Source organism: Homo sapiens, chromosome 9 (assembly GCF_000001405.40).
Source record: "Homo sapiens chromosome 9, GRCh38.p14 Primary Assembly".
NCBI lineage: Eukaryota > Metazoa > Chordata > Mammalia > Primates > Hominidae > Homo > Homo sapiens.
The window spans coordinates 99,132,232-99,147,903 of NC_000009.12; the positions used below are offsets into that span (position 1 = coordinate 99,132,232).

Here is a 15,672-nt window from a genome sequence, read left to right on the forward strand (position 1 = left end):
CTATGATATTGGCGGCAGTTGGCCTTGTAATGATGGCTGAAGAATACAGGAGTAAGTGGGTGCTGACAGAGCTGGTGTGCATAAAAGGAGGCCTAGTGGGAGAAGACTGATTCACTTGTTCTGGGTTTGAGCCCTGTAAACTGCTGTAATGAGGCTCTTTGGCTAAGTGGTGGCAGTGGCCAGCTGCAGGAATTGTGTAGGATTGGGAAAATGGGGGTTGCCACCTACAGTGTTTTTGTCGTTGTTGATGTTTATTTCACTCGAGGCCCTTTTTCAGTAAAGTCATCACCTGGCCTTGGTCCTGTGGAACTGGCAGCTGTCATTGCTGGACCAGTGTGCTTCGTCTGCATCTCACTCATGTTGATGGTCTATATCTGCCACAACCGCACTGTCATTCACCATCGAGTGCCAAATGAAGAGGACCCTTCATTAGATCGCCCTTTTATTTCAGAGGGTACTACGTTGAAAGACTTAATTTATGATATGACAACGTCAGGTTCTGGCTCAGGTAACATAATTGTTTCTCCTTTTTCCTAAGACATCTTTTTAAAATTAAGCGATACTTATTTTATTAGTTTTCTAATAAGCCAACTTGCTAGAATGTGAGATAGTATAAATAATATTGCAGGTTTGAACCTAATAAAAATCTTTAAGCTTGATGTATATATGACTGTGGCTGGTTTAAAATAGATTGGAACTTAACTTTAACTGTTAAAGCGAATCAATAAGTCAGCTCCATGGTGGTATAAATTTCAAAGCGTTCTCACTTGTATAATCTAATTTGCTTTTCATCACTGTGAGGTAGAAAGGATAAGAACAATTATTCTCATATAGATGAAGCTGAAGGTCAAAGATATTCACATGATCTGCAGCTAACCCATTCTATTCAGGATTGTTTAGCAGCTTGATGTTTACATTTGAAAACAGGCATGACAGAAATGTATTCAGAATTGTGAAGGTTATTTACTTTTTAAACATTATATGAAATTGTCTTTCGTATAGGCCTGGTTTTTTAAAATTAAACTAATGAACTCTTATGTCATTTTCTCACTTGAGAAAAATGTCTAACCACCTTCTTATTTAATGTAGTTTTGGCCCCTAATGACGTTTTCTTTTCTCAGTTCTATTTGTTGATATTTGTGGCATCAGAAGTAGATGAGCTAATTGTCAGAGTCATCCCAAGGTGGATTTTGGCATAGCAGTGCTTCATGTTTAAACTGAAAGGGGGTTATCTTTTACTTTTTCTTGCATGTGGTTTGGAAAAATATTAAGAGAGGAACACTCCTATCCCCTGTGTTTTTAGAATTTGACACTTGGTGAAGAATAAATAGATCTAGGTTTCAAGGCAAGCTTTGTCATTGATTGGCTGTATAACCTTGGTTAGAACATGTTTCCTCTTTGGGCTTCTGTTTCCTCATCAAAAATATGGAACCCATACTGTTGATAAAAACACTTCAAGTGGTTTGTTAAGACTTTTAAATGAGATGTACTATCCTTTGAAAAGTATGAGTCATCTTCAAATAAGGGCTAAATTCATGAATAAAGTGAAAATTTGTAAAGCGTATATAATGAAAATTTCACTAATTTTGGTGAAAGCCCATCTCTATTAAAAATGCAAAAAAATTAGCCGGGCGTAGTGGCATGCGCCTGTAGTCCCAGCTACTCGGGAGGCCGAGACAGGAGAATCACCTGAACCTGGGGGGTGGAGGTTGCAGTTAGCTGAGATCGCACCACTGCACTCCAGCCTGGGAAACAGACTCCATCTAAAAAAAAAAAAAAAAAAAAATTTTCACTAATTTTATAATTGAGTGATATTAAAGGAATGTTAAAGCAGAAGTTGTGACTGGGTAAGAATATAATTCTGAAGCATAAAATCACATCTAATGTTGCAGAAAGCTCATATAATGACAAATGTCTATTTATTTTAAGGAAATGAATATATATTGGTATGTATGCATATCCATTCATTTAAGAATGAAGAAACTGATTTTATTACCTGAATTATTCTTCTATAGAATTTGGCCATATGTATTCAATAAGAGAGCTCTCTCCTTGACTACTAGGACACACACAGGCTCGCACTGGAGCTCACGTCCCAGAAGGCAAGCTTAGGGATTCCTGAAACAGTTGTGCAAGGAAGACAATGAGAGTTTGGACTTAGATGAAGCAGTCTTAGTACTGAAGGTGTGATAGTCTTTAGGCAGGCCTGGTGGACAGAGGTTATTTTAGAGCTTTCCTGGGACTTCCCATTTATTCTCAGTTCAGATCTTCAAAAAGATTTTGCTCATTCTGGAAGTCATCCTGCTCAAAACTGTGATAATCAAGGACCAGAGTCACAGAAAATCAGGATGGCTACAGATATTTGGAATTAATCCCTCAAACCTGTTCTCTTGTTTCTAAACTTATACTCCGGAAAGACACAGCACTCATGCCACTTGCCACAGTGGAATAAGCCCACCTAACTGATTAAAGGAATTGGTGGGTGGGTGGCAGTTGATTACTGGATAAGAATATCTTCATTAACCTTTTAAGATATAAACATGAGAAACAATGGAATAATTCTGTTTCCATTATATATATATATATATATATATATATATATATATATATATATATATATATTTCTAGATCCATGAGGGACCATAGCTCTCTGTTCTCTGAAAGCTTCTCTCCCTCCTTTGATGCCTTACCCTGCAAAAACTTGTCTGCATTGCTTGCTAGCTCTGTGGCTTTGGGCAGTTAACCAATGTCTCATGCTTGAGTTATTTCATCTTTAAAATGAAAGTGATGGATTCTGTGCACATCATTGGATTGTTGTGAGTTCAAGCAAGACAAAATGTTTGCATGAAAGCACTTGGTAAATTGTAGAGTTATGTCCAAATGACAAGTGTTACTCTTATTGAAAACATACTTGGAGGAAAAATCTAACATACAGTATCAGTTGACCACATTGTACAAAACTTAGTTTAAGGCCTCCTTTGCCTGTCATAGTTCATTGTGTACTGAATTCCCTCCAAACCTATCCAGGCAGAAGCCATCTTCTGGTGAATAATAGCAGAAAATGCCATCTGTTTCCCTTCTATTCATTATAAATCCTTAATGCCACCTTAGGCATGAGACTAGTGCCTGTGAATAAGTAAACTGTGTGTTTGTAATACTCTGTTTTTAGTTCTTTCATTAATTGAGGAAAAGGTATAAGCATTTCACATTCTGAATTCATATGTTTATTACTTAGTACCGTGACCATAATTAAGGAAAGGCCCTGTCTCTACCTCTAAAGACTGTGCTTTTAACTTGGGAACTTCAGGGAATACAATGAAGAGCTGGGTTCTGGCAGCTGTACGCCAAGTGTGTGAGTGTGCACATGTGCATATGTGCCAGCTTTTGTAAGTGAGTCTTCTAGGCCAGTGTTTGTTATGGCGTGTGCAGCTTATGAGCTCTTGTAATATATGCATGTTGTTCGGGTCTTATTTCCTGTTCACTGCATGTAAAGCTGTGGAGTCCCTGTTTCCCTTTTGAAGTTTTCTCTCAAACAGTTCTAAAGGTACAGAAGAGTAGAGCAGAGAATATAGAGATCTAAATTAGGCCTATTCAGTTTTGTCTTTAGAAGAAAATTGTTACTTTTTTTTTTTTTTTTTTTGGAGACGGAGTTTCACTCTGTTGCCCAGGCTGGAGTGCAGTGGTGGGATCTCAGCTCTCTGCAGCCTTCACCTCCCGGGTTCAAGCAATTCTCCTGCCTCAGCCTCCTGAGTAGCTGGGATTACAGGTGTGCACCACCATGCCCAGCTAATTTTTGTATATTTATTAGAGACCAGGTTTCACCATGTTGGCCAGGCTGATCTTGAACTCCTGATCTCTAGTGATCCAACCACGTCGGCCTCCTAAAGTGCTGGGATTAGAGGTGTGAGTCACTGTGCCTGGCCAATTGTTAACTTTTTAAAAATGCTCAACTATTCATGTGAAGTAATCCAATATAGATAATACAGTGGATCAAGATTTGCTTTTTAATTTTAATTGACATCTAGAATCCAGTGATAAAGGGGAAGACAAAACCTTTCCTCGTCCTGTTGGCCTTTCTTGACCATACCATTTACACAAGTCCTGAACCTGTCAGGTGTTTTCAGAATTTGTGTTTGTGATTCCTTTTTCTTTTTTATTACTTGTCTTTGCAATTTCCAGATTAGTCTCCTGAAATTAACTCTTAAGTGTACTTTTAAGTCTGTGGTGTGGCCCTCTACAAGGCTTTCATAAAATGTAATAAATTAGTATCTACACTAAACAACATAATTAGAATTGATTATACATAGTGCGAAAGAGCTCTATGATTTAAATAAGGATTTCTGACAGATCTGTTTCTAACTAGCAGCCTCCTTATAAACACAAACAGTTATTTATAGTTATACTGCTAACTACTTTACAGGAGGTGGGGAGGGTAGAGCAAGAGGAAGAAAGGACCCGTTTGAGAAACTTAAGAAGAAGAGCTTCTGATCGCTTTAAAGATTTAACGTTTGGATTTATAAGCATTTCACATCAGGGAACCAAAGAGAGCAGATAATTTCATTTACTGTCATTGGGTTAATTTGATCTAGTAAGCAGCTTTGAGTATAGATTATAAATGACACCAATTTATATGTACATAGATTGTATAAATAAGATATGAGTGAGGAACATGATGTACACTGGCATTTTCTTTGTTAGTGTCAATGTAATTTAAAATGACACTTACCGGATGGTGGATAGGATATTAAGTGATGGTCTCACATATAGTGCCACTTAAATGTTGCAGGTAAGTTAGTAAACCCTTTTAAATGAAGTAAGTATGGCAATACTTAAAAATACATATTTTGGAGAAAGCCAAGTTCCATTAGTGGAAAAACAGTGCTCCATTACCAAGGTAAGTTACTTAGCCTTGTTCTTCAAGATACTAGTGTTGTCTATGTAGCCAGTTGTCAGCAAGTAAATTGCTTTCCTTGAAATAGTTTCTGTGGTGATTTTTACTGACTTATCAAAAAGCCAGAATTTACTTCTGTGTTTCTGCGTTCACATCCTTTTTTCCTCCCATCAGTGAAACTGTTACGAGATTCATCTTTCTAAAATAAGATTTTAAAATTATCTTGCTTCCAGCCATGGCCCTTTTTCTCAGAAATCTTTAAAGGTTCCTCTTTTACCTAAAGCTCTTCATTGGTTATTTTGAGCTTGGTATTCAGTACTCTTCATCTTCTGGTGACAGCTTACTTTCTCTTTTCACTGCTTTGCCACATATATCCTCTCTCTGATTGCCCAAGCTGCTTCCCTAAAAATGTGTCATTCATTTCCCTCTACCTTTGCCTGCACATTCTTCCTGCCTAACCACCGTACTTAAGGGATAGTCAAAATTCAACTTACTTTTACAAAGCCTACCTTGACCCTCTAGCAGGAGTTTCTGGATTCTTTTATTATATTTATTATCTTATTTTCCTTTTTTAATTAGTTATTTTATTGCAAATATAATATCTCCCCAGTGAGATAAATTCCTAAAGGGATAGCTTAAAGTATCAGTTTTCTGGGTCACTCATTAGTGCCTATCATGATGTTTGAAACATGTAATATTGTTGATTGTGTTGAGTACTATTTATTTTTACCTTTAGGTTTACCATTGCTTGTTCAGAGAACAATTGCGAGAACTATTGTGTTACAAGAAAGCATTGGCAAAGGTCGATTTGGAGAAGTTTGGAGAGGAAAGTGGCGGGGAGAAGAAGTTGCTGTTAAGATATTCTCCTCTAGAGAAGAACGTTCGTGGTTCCGTGAGGCAGAGATTTATCAAACTGTAATGTTACGTCATGAAAACATCCTGGGATTTATAGCAGCAGACAATAAAGGTCTGTAACATTTGCTTTTCCTTATGTTATATATAACAAGATCTCTTTAAGTCTTTACAGATATGGTGACTAACCATCATCAAAGTAGATGAGACATAGATGTCTCTCATGTAGATTAGACCCATTAAGTCGAATACAATATATTAGTAACTTTTAGAACTAGGAACTTCTTCAAGATTTTCTTGACTCTTGATAGCATTCCTAAAATCTCTTAATGTTTTATAAAATATAAAAGAGCTATTTTAAAAAGCCATGTACTTTGTTGGTTTAGTTTAGGGCAGTTAGTTATTGAGAGTACTCATGATATAGAAAAGATATATAAACTTGCTCAAAATTTTGAGAATAGGGCTCAGATAGCTGTTTCCTTTTAATCTCTTCCTGACCAGTAGGATGTTTCAATATGGACTATTGACCTTATTAATGGGGAGAGTAAAAATAACTTGTCAGTGTTCTGAGTTGCCAAGGGCTAAATAGATGAATCTTCTGGCAAACTCAAAGAGATAAATTGTTTCTTCAACCACCCTGGTAACTGTACGGACACTTTTCTGCCTATCATGCTGGTGCCTGAGGCCCAGTGTCAGGTCAGATGCTGAAGAAGGAAGGAAGCCTGTCAGCAGGGAGTCAGAATGAGTGGGGACTGCAAGCAGTGACCTTAGACTGTGCTGCTGCCACTTTCTTAGCTTCCGTTAATACCTTTATGCCCATGATTCCTACTTTTTTTTTTTTTGAGATGGAATCTCGCTCTGTAGCCAGGCTGGAGTACAGTGGTGCAATCTCGGCTCACTGCAGCTTCTGCCTCCTGGGTTCAAGTGGTTCTCCTGCCTCAGCTTCTCGAGTAGCTGGGACTACAGGCGTGCACCACCATGCCCAGCTAATGTTTGTATTTTTAGTAGAGATGGGGTTTCACCATGTTGGCCAGGTTGGCCTCCATCTCTTGACCTCGTGATCCACCCACCTCACCCTCCCAAAGTGCTGGGATTACAGGCATGAGCCACTGTGCCCAGCCCCCACGATTCCTATTTTTACTGCCTCTGTCAGAGACTTGTGTTTCAGCTCCACTCTTGTCATCCCTACCCCTGAATCAAATGTATTTCCCAGCTTTCCTATTTAAAAAAAAAAAAAAATGCTGTCATTATCTCTTAGCTTGGCCAGACCTGTAGTCATCTTTTTCCTTCTCCCACCTTCCATTTACTTCAGCAATATTTATTTATTCAAATATTAACAGTGTTTAACCTCAGTTGGTAATTATGGGTGATTTTTATTATTTTTCTTTTAGCTTCTCTGGGTTTTCAAATTTATTTACAAGCATGTACTGCTTTTTTTTGTTATTGACTTTTATTTGTAGAAAATTTCCAATATGTAGAAAAGCAGAGTAGTTACAGTGATCCCTCATCGTCCAGCTTCAACAGTTGTCAGGTCACTGCCAATCATAATTGATGTCTGATCCCACCTACTCTGCCCTAACTGTGTTATTTGAAGCTGGTCCCAGACAATATGTTTTCATCTGTAAACACTTATAAAATGTAATTTGTATCTTCAAATGATGAGGAAATGTTTTTATGAAACAACCACACTACCATTGTCAGTTTTTTAAATGTTATCAAATATCCAGTTAGGTTCAATTCTATAATTGTCTCCTATTAAAAAAATTATTTATTCAAATTATGATTCTAAGTCCACAAGTTATATTTAGTTGATATTTCTCTTATGTGTCTTAAAATTTAGGTCCCCCCTTCATCTTTTTTCTCCTCTCGCAGCTTATTTGTTGAAGAAATTGGATTGTTTATCCTGAAGGGCCTATCACATTCTGGATTTTGCTGATTGCATTTCCATAGTGTCTCTTAACTTGTTCTTCTATCTTTTCTGAAAACTGGTAGTTAGATTTAGAAGCTAAACCTAATTGGAGTTTTATTGGTTTTCTCAAAATACATACTAAGGATATTATATACATCCTATTGCATCATATGTGGAGGTGTATAGTGTTTGATTAAGACGGGGCAGTGAGGTATATGATGAATGTAGGTAGCGATTATCAGTGGCACCTGACAATGTAATACCTCTTAAGTTAAAAACAAAACAGGCCGGGCACAGTGGCTCACGCCTGTAATCCCAGCACTTTGGGAAGCCAAGGTGGGTGGATCACGAGGTCAAGAGTTCAAGACCAGCCTGGCTGGCCAAGATGATGAAACCCCATCTCTACTAAAAATACAAAAAAATTAGCCAGGCATGATGGCAGGTGCCTATAATCCCAGCTACTTGGGAAGCTAAGGCAGAGAATTGCTTGAACCTGGGAGGTGGAGGTTGCAGTCAGAGCTGAGATCGCACCACTGCACTCCAGCCTGGGCGACACAGGGAGACTCTGTCTCAAAAAAAAAACAACAACAAAACAAAACAAAACAAAAAATAGTAATCAGTCTGACCAAATCCTTAGTTCTCATTTTCGTTTCTGCCTTTATCACCATTTATTTCCTCCCCCAACTCTTAAAACAACCTTTTCTTTATTTACTGTGTTTGATGACCCTAGACTTTCCTTGTTCCTTCTTACTTCTTCATAGTTGTCTTTGTTTTCTCAACTCTTACTCTTCTCACTGGTTCATATGAAGGTACTGATTTTATAAGTGGTAATTTCTTCCTTAAGAACATAGCCACATTCATGGTTTCAAACTCTACCATGTTGGCAACTCTCAAATCTCCATTTGAAAGCTTAAACCTCACCCAGGGTCTGGATTTTGTCACATTCCAAGTTACAAACACAGCAGCACAAAATGTTGGTGAGTCTGTGCCCTGAACTTCTAACCAGGCTGATGCTGTCATCTGGTGGTCACCATGGGAACTAGCTGACCCTACTGGCTCTTCCCTACTCCCCTTCTTTCTTCTTTGTCAGGGGTTAATGTACTTTCTCTGAGCCTAGCCCCTCCACCTCAGTTCCTTTATCTTCTCCTGATTTAGTTAATTCCACCCCCGGCAGCCCTTTATATTTATGGCCCCTTACATATAACCTTCCTTCTATCTTGTCCATAACCTGTGGTTTCCCTTTCTTCCATCTGCCTGTCTTCCACTTTGTTTCTTGTATTTGTGAGCTTTTCAAAATTCAGTAATGGTTAAGAGGCATGCAAATAAGCTAGTGATGTGCCTATATCAAGGAAAAGCAAGGGTGCGAGTTTGGTCAGAATCAGTTTATAAAGTTCATGAAGAACAAATTAATACTAAGTCCTTTTAAATGTACCCAGAAATCTCCTCCAGAATCTTCTGAAAAGTTTCTATTCCTTTCTTAATCTCTTCTAATCAGAGTTGGTTTTCTTCTTCAACCAAATACCTTCAAAATAGAAGCTGTTTCATGTCAATATGGATTTTTTCTTTTGGTTTACAACCAGCAGGGAAAGAAAGAGCACAGTTTATGTACTTCTTACCTAAAGAATCTAGCATTCCGTTTTTTAAATCTTAACAGTCTTACAAAGTAAGACTTTATTCTTGTATAAAAGGAGAAACAGGCTCCTTGTCAGTAACAGGCAGGCCGTGGATTCCAACCAGGTTAGAATGACTCTAAGCGTCCATCTTTTACTGGATTGTGCTGTCTCCTAATGTTGTAATGCTTTTTTTCTTCATGGCTTAATTAAGCATGTGGTTTTCCAGCTACTTCTAGGTTAAATTAGATTGTCGTGGACCAGTCTAGCTTAGGAGCCTAGCTAGTGTCTTTACCATTATTCCTATGAGAAAACATGTTTTAAACTCGTGTTTTGGCTTACAGAGGAAATTTTGGAACCCACGTTCCTCGTTGTTTGAGTTTAGTCCCAGCTTTTCCAGTTTTGCTCCTGACATTTCAGTTCCTATTTCAGCTTCCCCATGTGTTAGAGGTATCACTATTTCTGTTTTTCTAAGCTAGCAACCTTGGAATCATAATCATCTTGTCTTGCGTCTTTGTGAACTGTGTACACAATCTGTCACTAAAGCTTGTCATTTCTTGTTGAAACTCACTTTCAGTTTTGTCCCATACTCTTCCATTCCCACTGTGGCCACACTGGTCTCCGGAGACTTCTCACCTCCTTGCTTCCCTCTCTGTTCCTTCCTTTTTTTTAACCTTCTCTCCTTCCAGGAACAGCCACTGAGCACCCAACCCGACCCAGAGATTTTTCTAGGCACTTAAGAGTGCCAGCTCTGATACCAATTATCTGTGAAGACTCAAAAAAGTCACCATCTTTGTCTCTTAAATGGGATTAATTATACTTGCCTTATCTCAAGAAGAGGGGCTTACTCTGAGGAACTAAAGGATGTGTACATAAAAGTATAAAACAAACAATGTAGAAGAAAATGTGAAGGAAATACAGACTTAAGGTGGCATTATATTGCAGTGTGTGACTCAGGATTGAGAGTAAAAAGTAATAACCATTGAACAAATAAATCATAAATGGTCTGCAGCCCAACCGAAATGTTAATTCTGTTTTACAGACAATGGTACTTGGACTCAGCTCTGGTTGGTGTCAGATTATCATGAGCATGGATCCCTTTTTGATTACTTAAACAGATACACAGTTACTGTGGAAGGAATGATAAAACTTGCTCTGTCCACGGCGAGCGGTCTTGCCCATCTTCACATGGAGATTGTTGGTACCCAAGGTAATTCTATAAGCAGTTCTATTATTTAAGCTTTAAATTTTCATGAATAATGTCTATGAAAATAGAAGGTGGAGGCTGGGCCTGGTGGCTCATGCCTATAATCCCAGCACTTTGGGAGGCTGAGGTGGGCAGATCGCCCGATCTCAGGAGTTCATGGCCAGCCTGGGCAACATGACAAAACCGCATCTCTACCAACATACAAAAAATTAGTCGGGCATGGTGGCATGCACCTGTAGTCCCAGCTACTCAGGGGGCTGAGGTAGGAGGATTACCTGAGCCTGGGAGGTCGAAGCTGCAGTGAGCAGACATCATGCCACTGCACTCCCAGCTGAGTAATAGAGAGAGACCCTGTCTCAGAAAAAAAAACAAAAACAAAAACAGTAGGTGGCCTAACTGGAGATATTTAAAACAAATTTTTTAGATGAGAACATTTTATCTTTCAGTTCAAAATTTCAGGTAGAGCTAGGAATCTGGAAATTTGTTTAGAGATTCTCTAGTCGTTGTAACAAAACTGTGATTTTTTTTGAGTTCTTAAAAGTAGCATTCAATCTTATGATTTTTGAGGATCTCAGTTTCAGAATTCAGGTCCAACTGAATATATTTTTATGTGTAGTATCAAATGAAATGTGAAAGTGCTTTGTAAACATCAACATGCTAGGTAACTGTTATCTGGCCATCTAATAATTATATTTGACCTTGAGATAAGGAGACTGCATGAGATAGTTTTACAGTTGAAAAATTAAATACTAAGTTTTAGTTATGACATTTGTATGCTGTAGTTTTTGTGCATGTGGGATTTCAGATGCCAGTATATCTCTCTGCTCTAGCAGTTGTCCACTTGCAACCCAATGGCTCCCCCACTCCCCACTTTACATACAGCATAAGTGCTAGTTCACATCTTAGCTCCATCTTTGTAGTTATTATTATTATTGATTGTAACAGTTTTATTGAGTTATAATTCACATCATAAAGTTCACCCACTTAAAGTGTAAAATTCAGTGGTTTTTAGAATACTCAGAGTTGTACAGCCAGCAAACACTACAGTCAATTTTAGAATATCTTCACTCCAAAGAGAAACCCTGTAGCCACTAGCAGTCACTCCCCTTTCCTCCCAAACTCCTTAGCCCTAGGCAACAACTGCTCCTTTTTGTCTGTAGATTTGCTTATTCTGCACATTTTATATAAATGAATCATACAATATGTGGTCTTTTGTGACTGGCTTCTTTCACTTAGCATGTTTTCAAGGTTCATTTATGTTGTAGCACGTATGAGTACTTCAGTCATTTTGATGGCTAAGTAATACTTCAGTGTATGGATATGGCATATGTCATATATCCGTTCGTTGATGGACATTTGGTTTGTTTCTTTTGGCCATTGTAGCTAATGCTGCAGTGAACATTTGTGTACAAGTTGTATGTAGTTTCATGTTTTCAGTTATCTTGGGTATATACCTAGGAGTTGAATTACTGTATCATATGATAACTCTATTTAATGGTTTGAAGAACTGCCATACTATTTTCTTAAAGTGCCTGAACCATTTTACATTCCTGCCAGCAGTGTATGAAGGTTCCAGGTTTTCCACATTATAATTATTATTTTTTAATAACATTTTCTAGTGGTTAGCATCAAAGATAATATACTTAATACTGAGTACATTGCAGTTGATAGGGAAGTGATGTTCTACATGCTTGGTTCCTGGGCTGCTGGAATATCAGTCTATGGCTAAGTTTCTTAAAAAGAATTCATAAGGCACCAACAGATAAACTGATAACTTTTTTTTTGCCCCAGTCTTTGAGTTGTTCATCTTTTAAAGCATGTTATTGTCCACATTTTCTTTAAAGAAATATAAATTCAGTGACTTTTGGTGTAGTGATTCACTTGAGTTTAATAATGCCGTAAGTATTGTAGGTCATGTGGGCTGAAATGCTTTGATAATTTGGGTTGGGAGAAGAGACTTTTGAACCTAAAGATGTGAGTTGTGATTGGTATTACCTTTTAAGCAGTCATGTTTAATTTTTGATTCTTTAGGAAAGCCAGCCATTGCTCATAGAGATTTGAAATCAAAGAATATCTTGGTAAAGAAGAATGGAACTTGCTGTATTGCAGACTTAGGACTGGCAGTAAGACATGATTCAGCCACAGATACCATTGATATTGCTCCAAACCACAGAGTGGGAACAAAAAGGTATACTTTTGAACAACTATATTTAATATCTTCTGAAATCACCTTTTTTCCCTTCTCTTTCATATATACATATCATTGCTGAAACTCAGCTTAAACTTGCACTTTATTAGATTGCCAACAGGTAAGAAGATCTCATGGTCTTGCCTGCTCTGAAGCCAGAGTTACCTGACTTAAAAAGATGCCTGCTGATGAAAGGTTGCCCTTCCAGAAAATATCATTAGGCATGTTAATTATAATAACAGTAGTAACTAACGTTTATAGGGCACCTACTATGTGCCAATCGTCTAATAGGTCTTTTACGTATATTACCTCATTTAATCCCTTCTCAAATACTGTGCAGTAGCTAGCCCTGCTATTTTCATATTTCAGTTCCTAAAAATATGCCTTTCTTGCTTTCTTAGAACTTTTGCACATGCTGTCTCCTGGAGCATACTTTACCCTACTGTTTCTCAGCCTCATACCCACCTTTCCCGTAGGAAGTTTTTTCTAGTCCTCAAAAATCTTAGGAGTCCCTGCCAGGGACTGTCATAGCACACTGAACTGGGACCGTTGAGGCACTTATGCGTTATGTTGTAACTGTTTATTTATTTGCCTATATATTCTATTAGGTGCAAGCTGCTTGAGAGCAGCCTTGTATTCCCAGCATCCATCACAGTGCCTAATACATGGTAGATCCTCAGTAGATATTTGTTGAGTCCATGAGTCTTCAAAAGAACTTAATTAGGTAGGTGTTATTACCCTTTAATTCACAGATGAGGAAACCACCTTGAGGAGGTTAAATAATATGGCCAGCTTCATGTGGATGATAAGCCGAAGAGCTGAGATTTGAACCTGGGCATTTCTGACCCAAACCCCTTATCACAAGCTGTCACAGCATTTTTTCAAACTACTGTCTTGGCCTTGGAGACAGCTGGAGAGCCAGCAGCATTAGTCTATTCAAATTGCATGTATAATTTTGAGATTTCTGGATTCCCTGGGGACTCTCAATTTTCCCATCCAAGTACTAAGCAGGCCCGACCCTGCTTAGCTTCCAAGATCAGACGAGATCGGGCGTGTTTAGGGTGGTATGGCCGTAGATGACTCTCAATTCTCAACCAGCTAAGGGGTCCTTGTCAGTGGTTGCTGTAGGTCTCTGTGGGTCCTGACCCATAATTTTGGTAGGTTTTTGAAGCTTCAGTATGAGGACTGGCATTCTTTTGTATCTATTATTTTTTTCCCTGGAGTATATTCGTGCCCTTCCTTTCATCCTCAGTGAGAAGACTTCTAAATTAAAATGCATGGTTTCTACCTAGTACGTGTATAGGTGGTGTACATTAGGACACCTTTAACAGTCACAATTGTTATGTATGTCTTTCATTGGAAACCAAGATCATGAGGCAGATAGTGTGAAACTGCTATTTTAGCATTTTGTGGGATTTAGTTGACATCATTAATGTGCAAACCAGTGTGGATATTTAATATTTTTCTTGAGTCTAATATTTGTTATGTAATATTGTGTACATATGTCTATGTATAAAGAAATGTCTGAAAGGAGGTTCATCCAAATATGGCAGTAAGGGGATGATTTTCAAAGTTCTTTTTGCAAATTTTTTTTAGGTACATGGCCCCTGAAGTTCTCGATGATTCCATAAATATGAAACATTTTGAATCCTTCAAACGTGCTGACATCTATGCAATGGGCTTAGTATTCTGGGAAATTGCTCGACGATGTTCCATTGGTGGTAAATTGCTCTCCTCTCCCCCAGTAGTTTGTCATGAGCAGAAGTTGTTCAAGAATTGTCTTCTTTTTTTAATTGAATGAAATTATGTACAGTCCATTATCTGAAACAGGATGTCACCGAGTGCCAGAGAAAACAAAGGCGATGAAACCTTTGGGAGGGGACAGTGCCATGGTGTGCACATGCACAGCTCTAGCCTAGTGTATTCTCTTCCTGTTTCCATTTGAATCTGGAGACTCATCAGAACCCAACCCCTTGTTATATTGGAATATAGTTCTTTAGAATGGACAGCTGCTTGAGAGGCTCACCTAGGAAGCTGTTTCTAGCATGTACCTGGGTGTCAAACTTATTTTTTTTCTTTGAGATTGTGGTTATTTTCTCCAACTTGATAGTTACAGTTACATACACAGAATACAATTATGTTACCATTGTGTTGTATTCTAGAGTTAGTTTGTTTTAACTTCTAGCTTTTTAGATGGAGTACTTTTAATGTTTACTCAGGAAACAGTCTCTTAGGCTTGGGGACCTAGACTTGGCTGAGACCTAGTGCCTTAGGTTTTTGAAGCAGTGAGGGACAGAGTATTTCTCTGTATTGTAGTAAATAGGATATATTATTGACAGATGCAAGTAGAGAAAGGGACTTGGCACCTTAAACTTGCCTCATAAGATTCAAGTCTCACTGATAGGGTATATATATCCCTGTGCAAGTGAGAGCCTGTGCACTTACAGAATAGAATCTCATTTGCTGCACAATAGGGTTCTAGGGGAAAATGTCAATCTGGTCATCACAGCTCATAGTTTACTGTCATTTCAAATAGGCTTTATTGATCTCATGGCAATACTTAGTTTCAAGGTGTGGGTGGAATATCAACTCAGGGAAGTGGCTTGTGGATACAGATGTGGATGAGATAGAGAAAGCTGTAATCTCTGTTCCACATACCTACTTTAGTAATGAAACACTGTAATAGGTCTCTCAGGTGATCTTTTAATGCCTTGGCATTAGCTGAATAAATTCATCAAAATTTAATTTTTTTTAAACTGATACAGGAATTCATGAAGATTACCAACTGCCTTATTATGATCTTGTACCTTCTGACCCATCAGTTGAAGAAATGAGAAAAGTTGTTTGTGAACAGAAGTTAAGGCCAAATATCCCAAACAGATGGCAGAGCTGTGAAGTGAGTATTTCTTTTTGATATTAGGCAATTTTCTAAACTGCTTCTGCTTAGTAAGCAAAAGTTTGCTACTTTTCTTTAAGGAAAACTTTTCTTTAAGAATTTTCTTTTTCATAGCAGTC

General features: G+C 38.1%; 1 protein-coding gene and 1 pseudogene across 29 annotated transcripts in view, besides 1 other annotated feature; one reads left to right on the forward strand and one right to left on the reverse strand.

The window, feature by feature from the left end:
• TGFBR1 (transforming growth factor beta receptor 1) overlaps window positions 1-15,672 on the forward strand; it is a 50,546-nt gene that overhangs the window by 28,585 nt on the left and 6,289 nt on the right. For 13 of the 29 annotated variants that reach the window (NM_001407423.1, NM_001407424.1, NM_001407425.1 and 10 more), the window contains 6 exons: window positions 278-508; window positions 5,628-5,858; window positions 10,305-10,472; window positions 12,501-12,657; window positions 14,254-14,378; window positions 15,423-15,553. In NM_001407423.1, the coding sequence (NP_001394352.1) occupies window positions 278-508; window positions 5,628-5,858; window positions 10,305-10,472; window positions 12,501-12,657; window positions 14,254-14,378; window positions 15,423-15,553 (1,043 nt within the window). Of the gene's footprint in view, window positions 1-265; window positions 509-5,627; window positions 5,859-10,304; window positions 10,473-12,500; window positions 12,658-13,265; window positions 13,382-14,253; window positions 14,379-15,422; window positions 15,554-15,672 lie in introns of all 29 variants that reach the window. The other 16 variants (NM_001407418.1, NM_001407419.1, NM_001407422.1 and 13 more) reach the window with 9 other exon arrangements.
• Window positions 5,043-5,172: an enhancer, noted in NCBI's record as "active region_28699". NCBI's record gives its function as "activates an Ori minimal core promoter by ATAC-STARR-seq in GM12878 lymphoblastoid cells {active_cell/tissue: GM12878}" and the evidence as "EXISTENCE:reporter gene assay evidence [ECO:0000049][PMID:35858748]".
• On the reverse strand, window positions 13,609-13,735 carry RNA5SP290 (RNA, 5S ribosomal pseudogene 290; annotated as a pseudogene).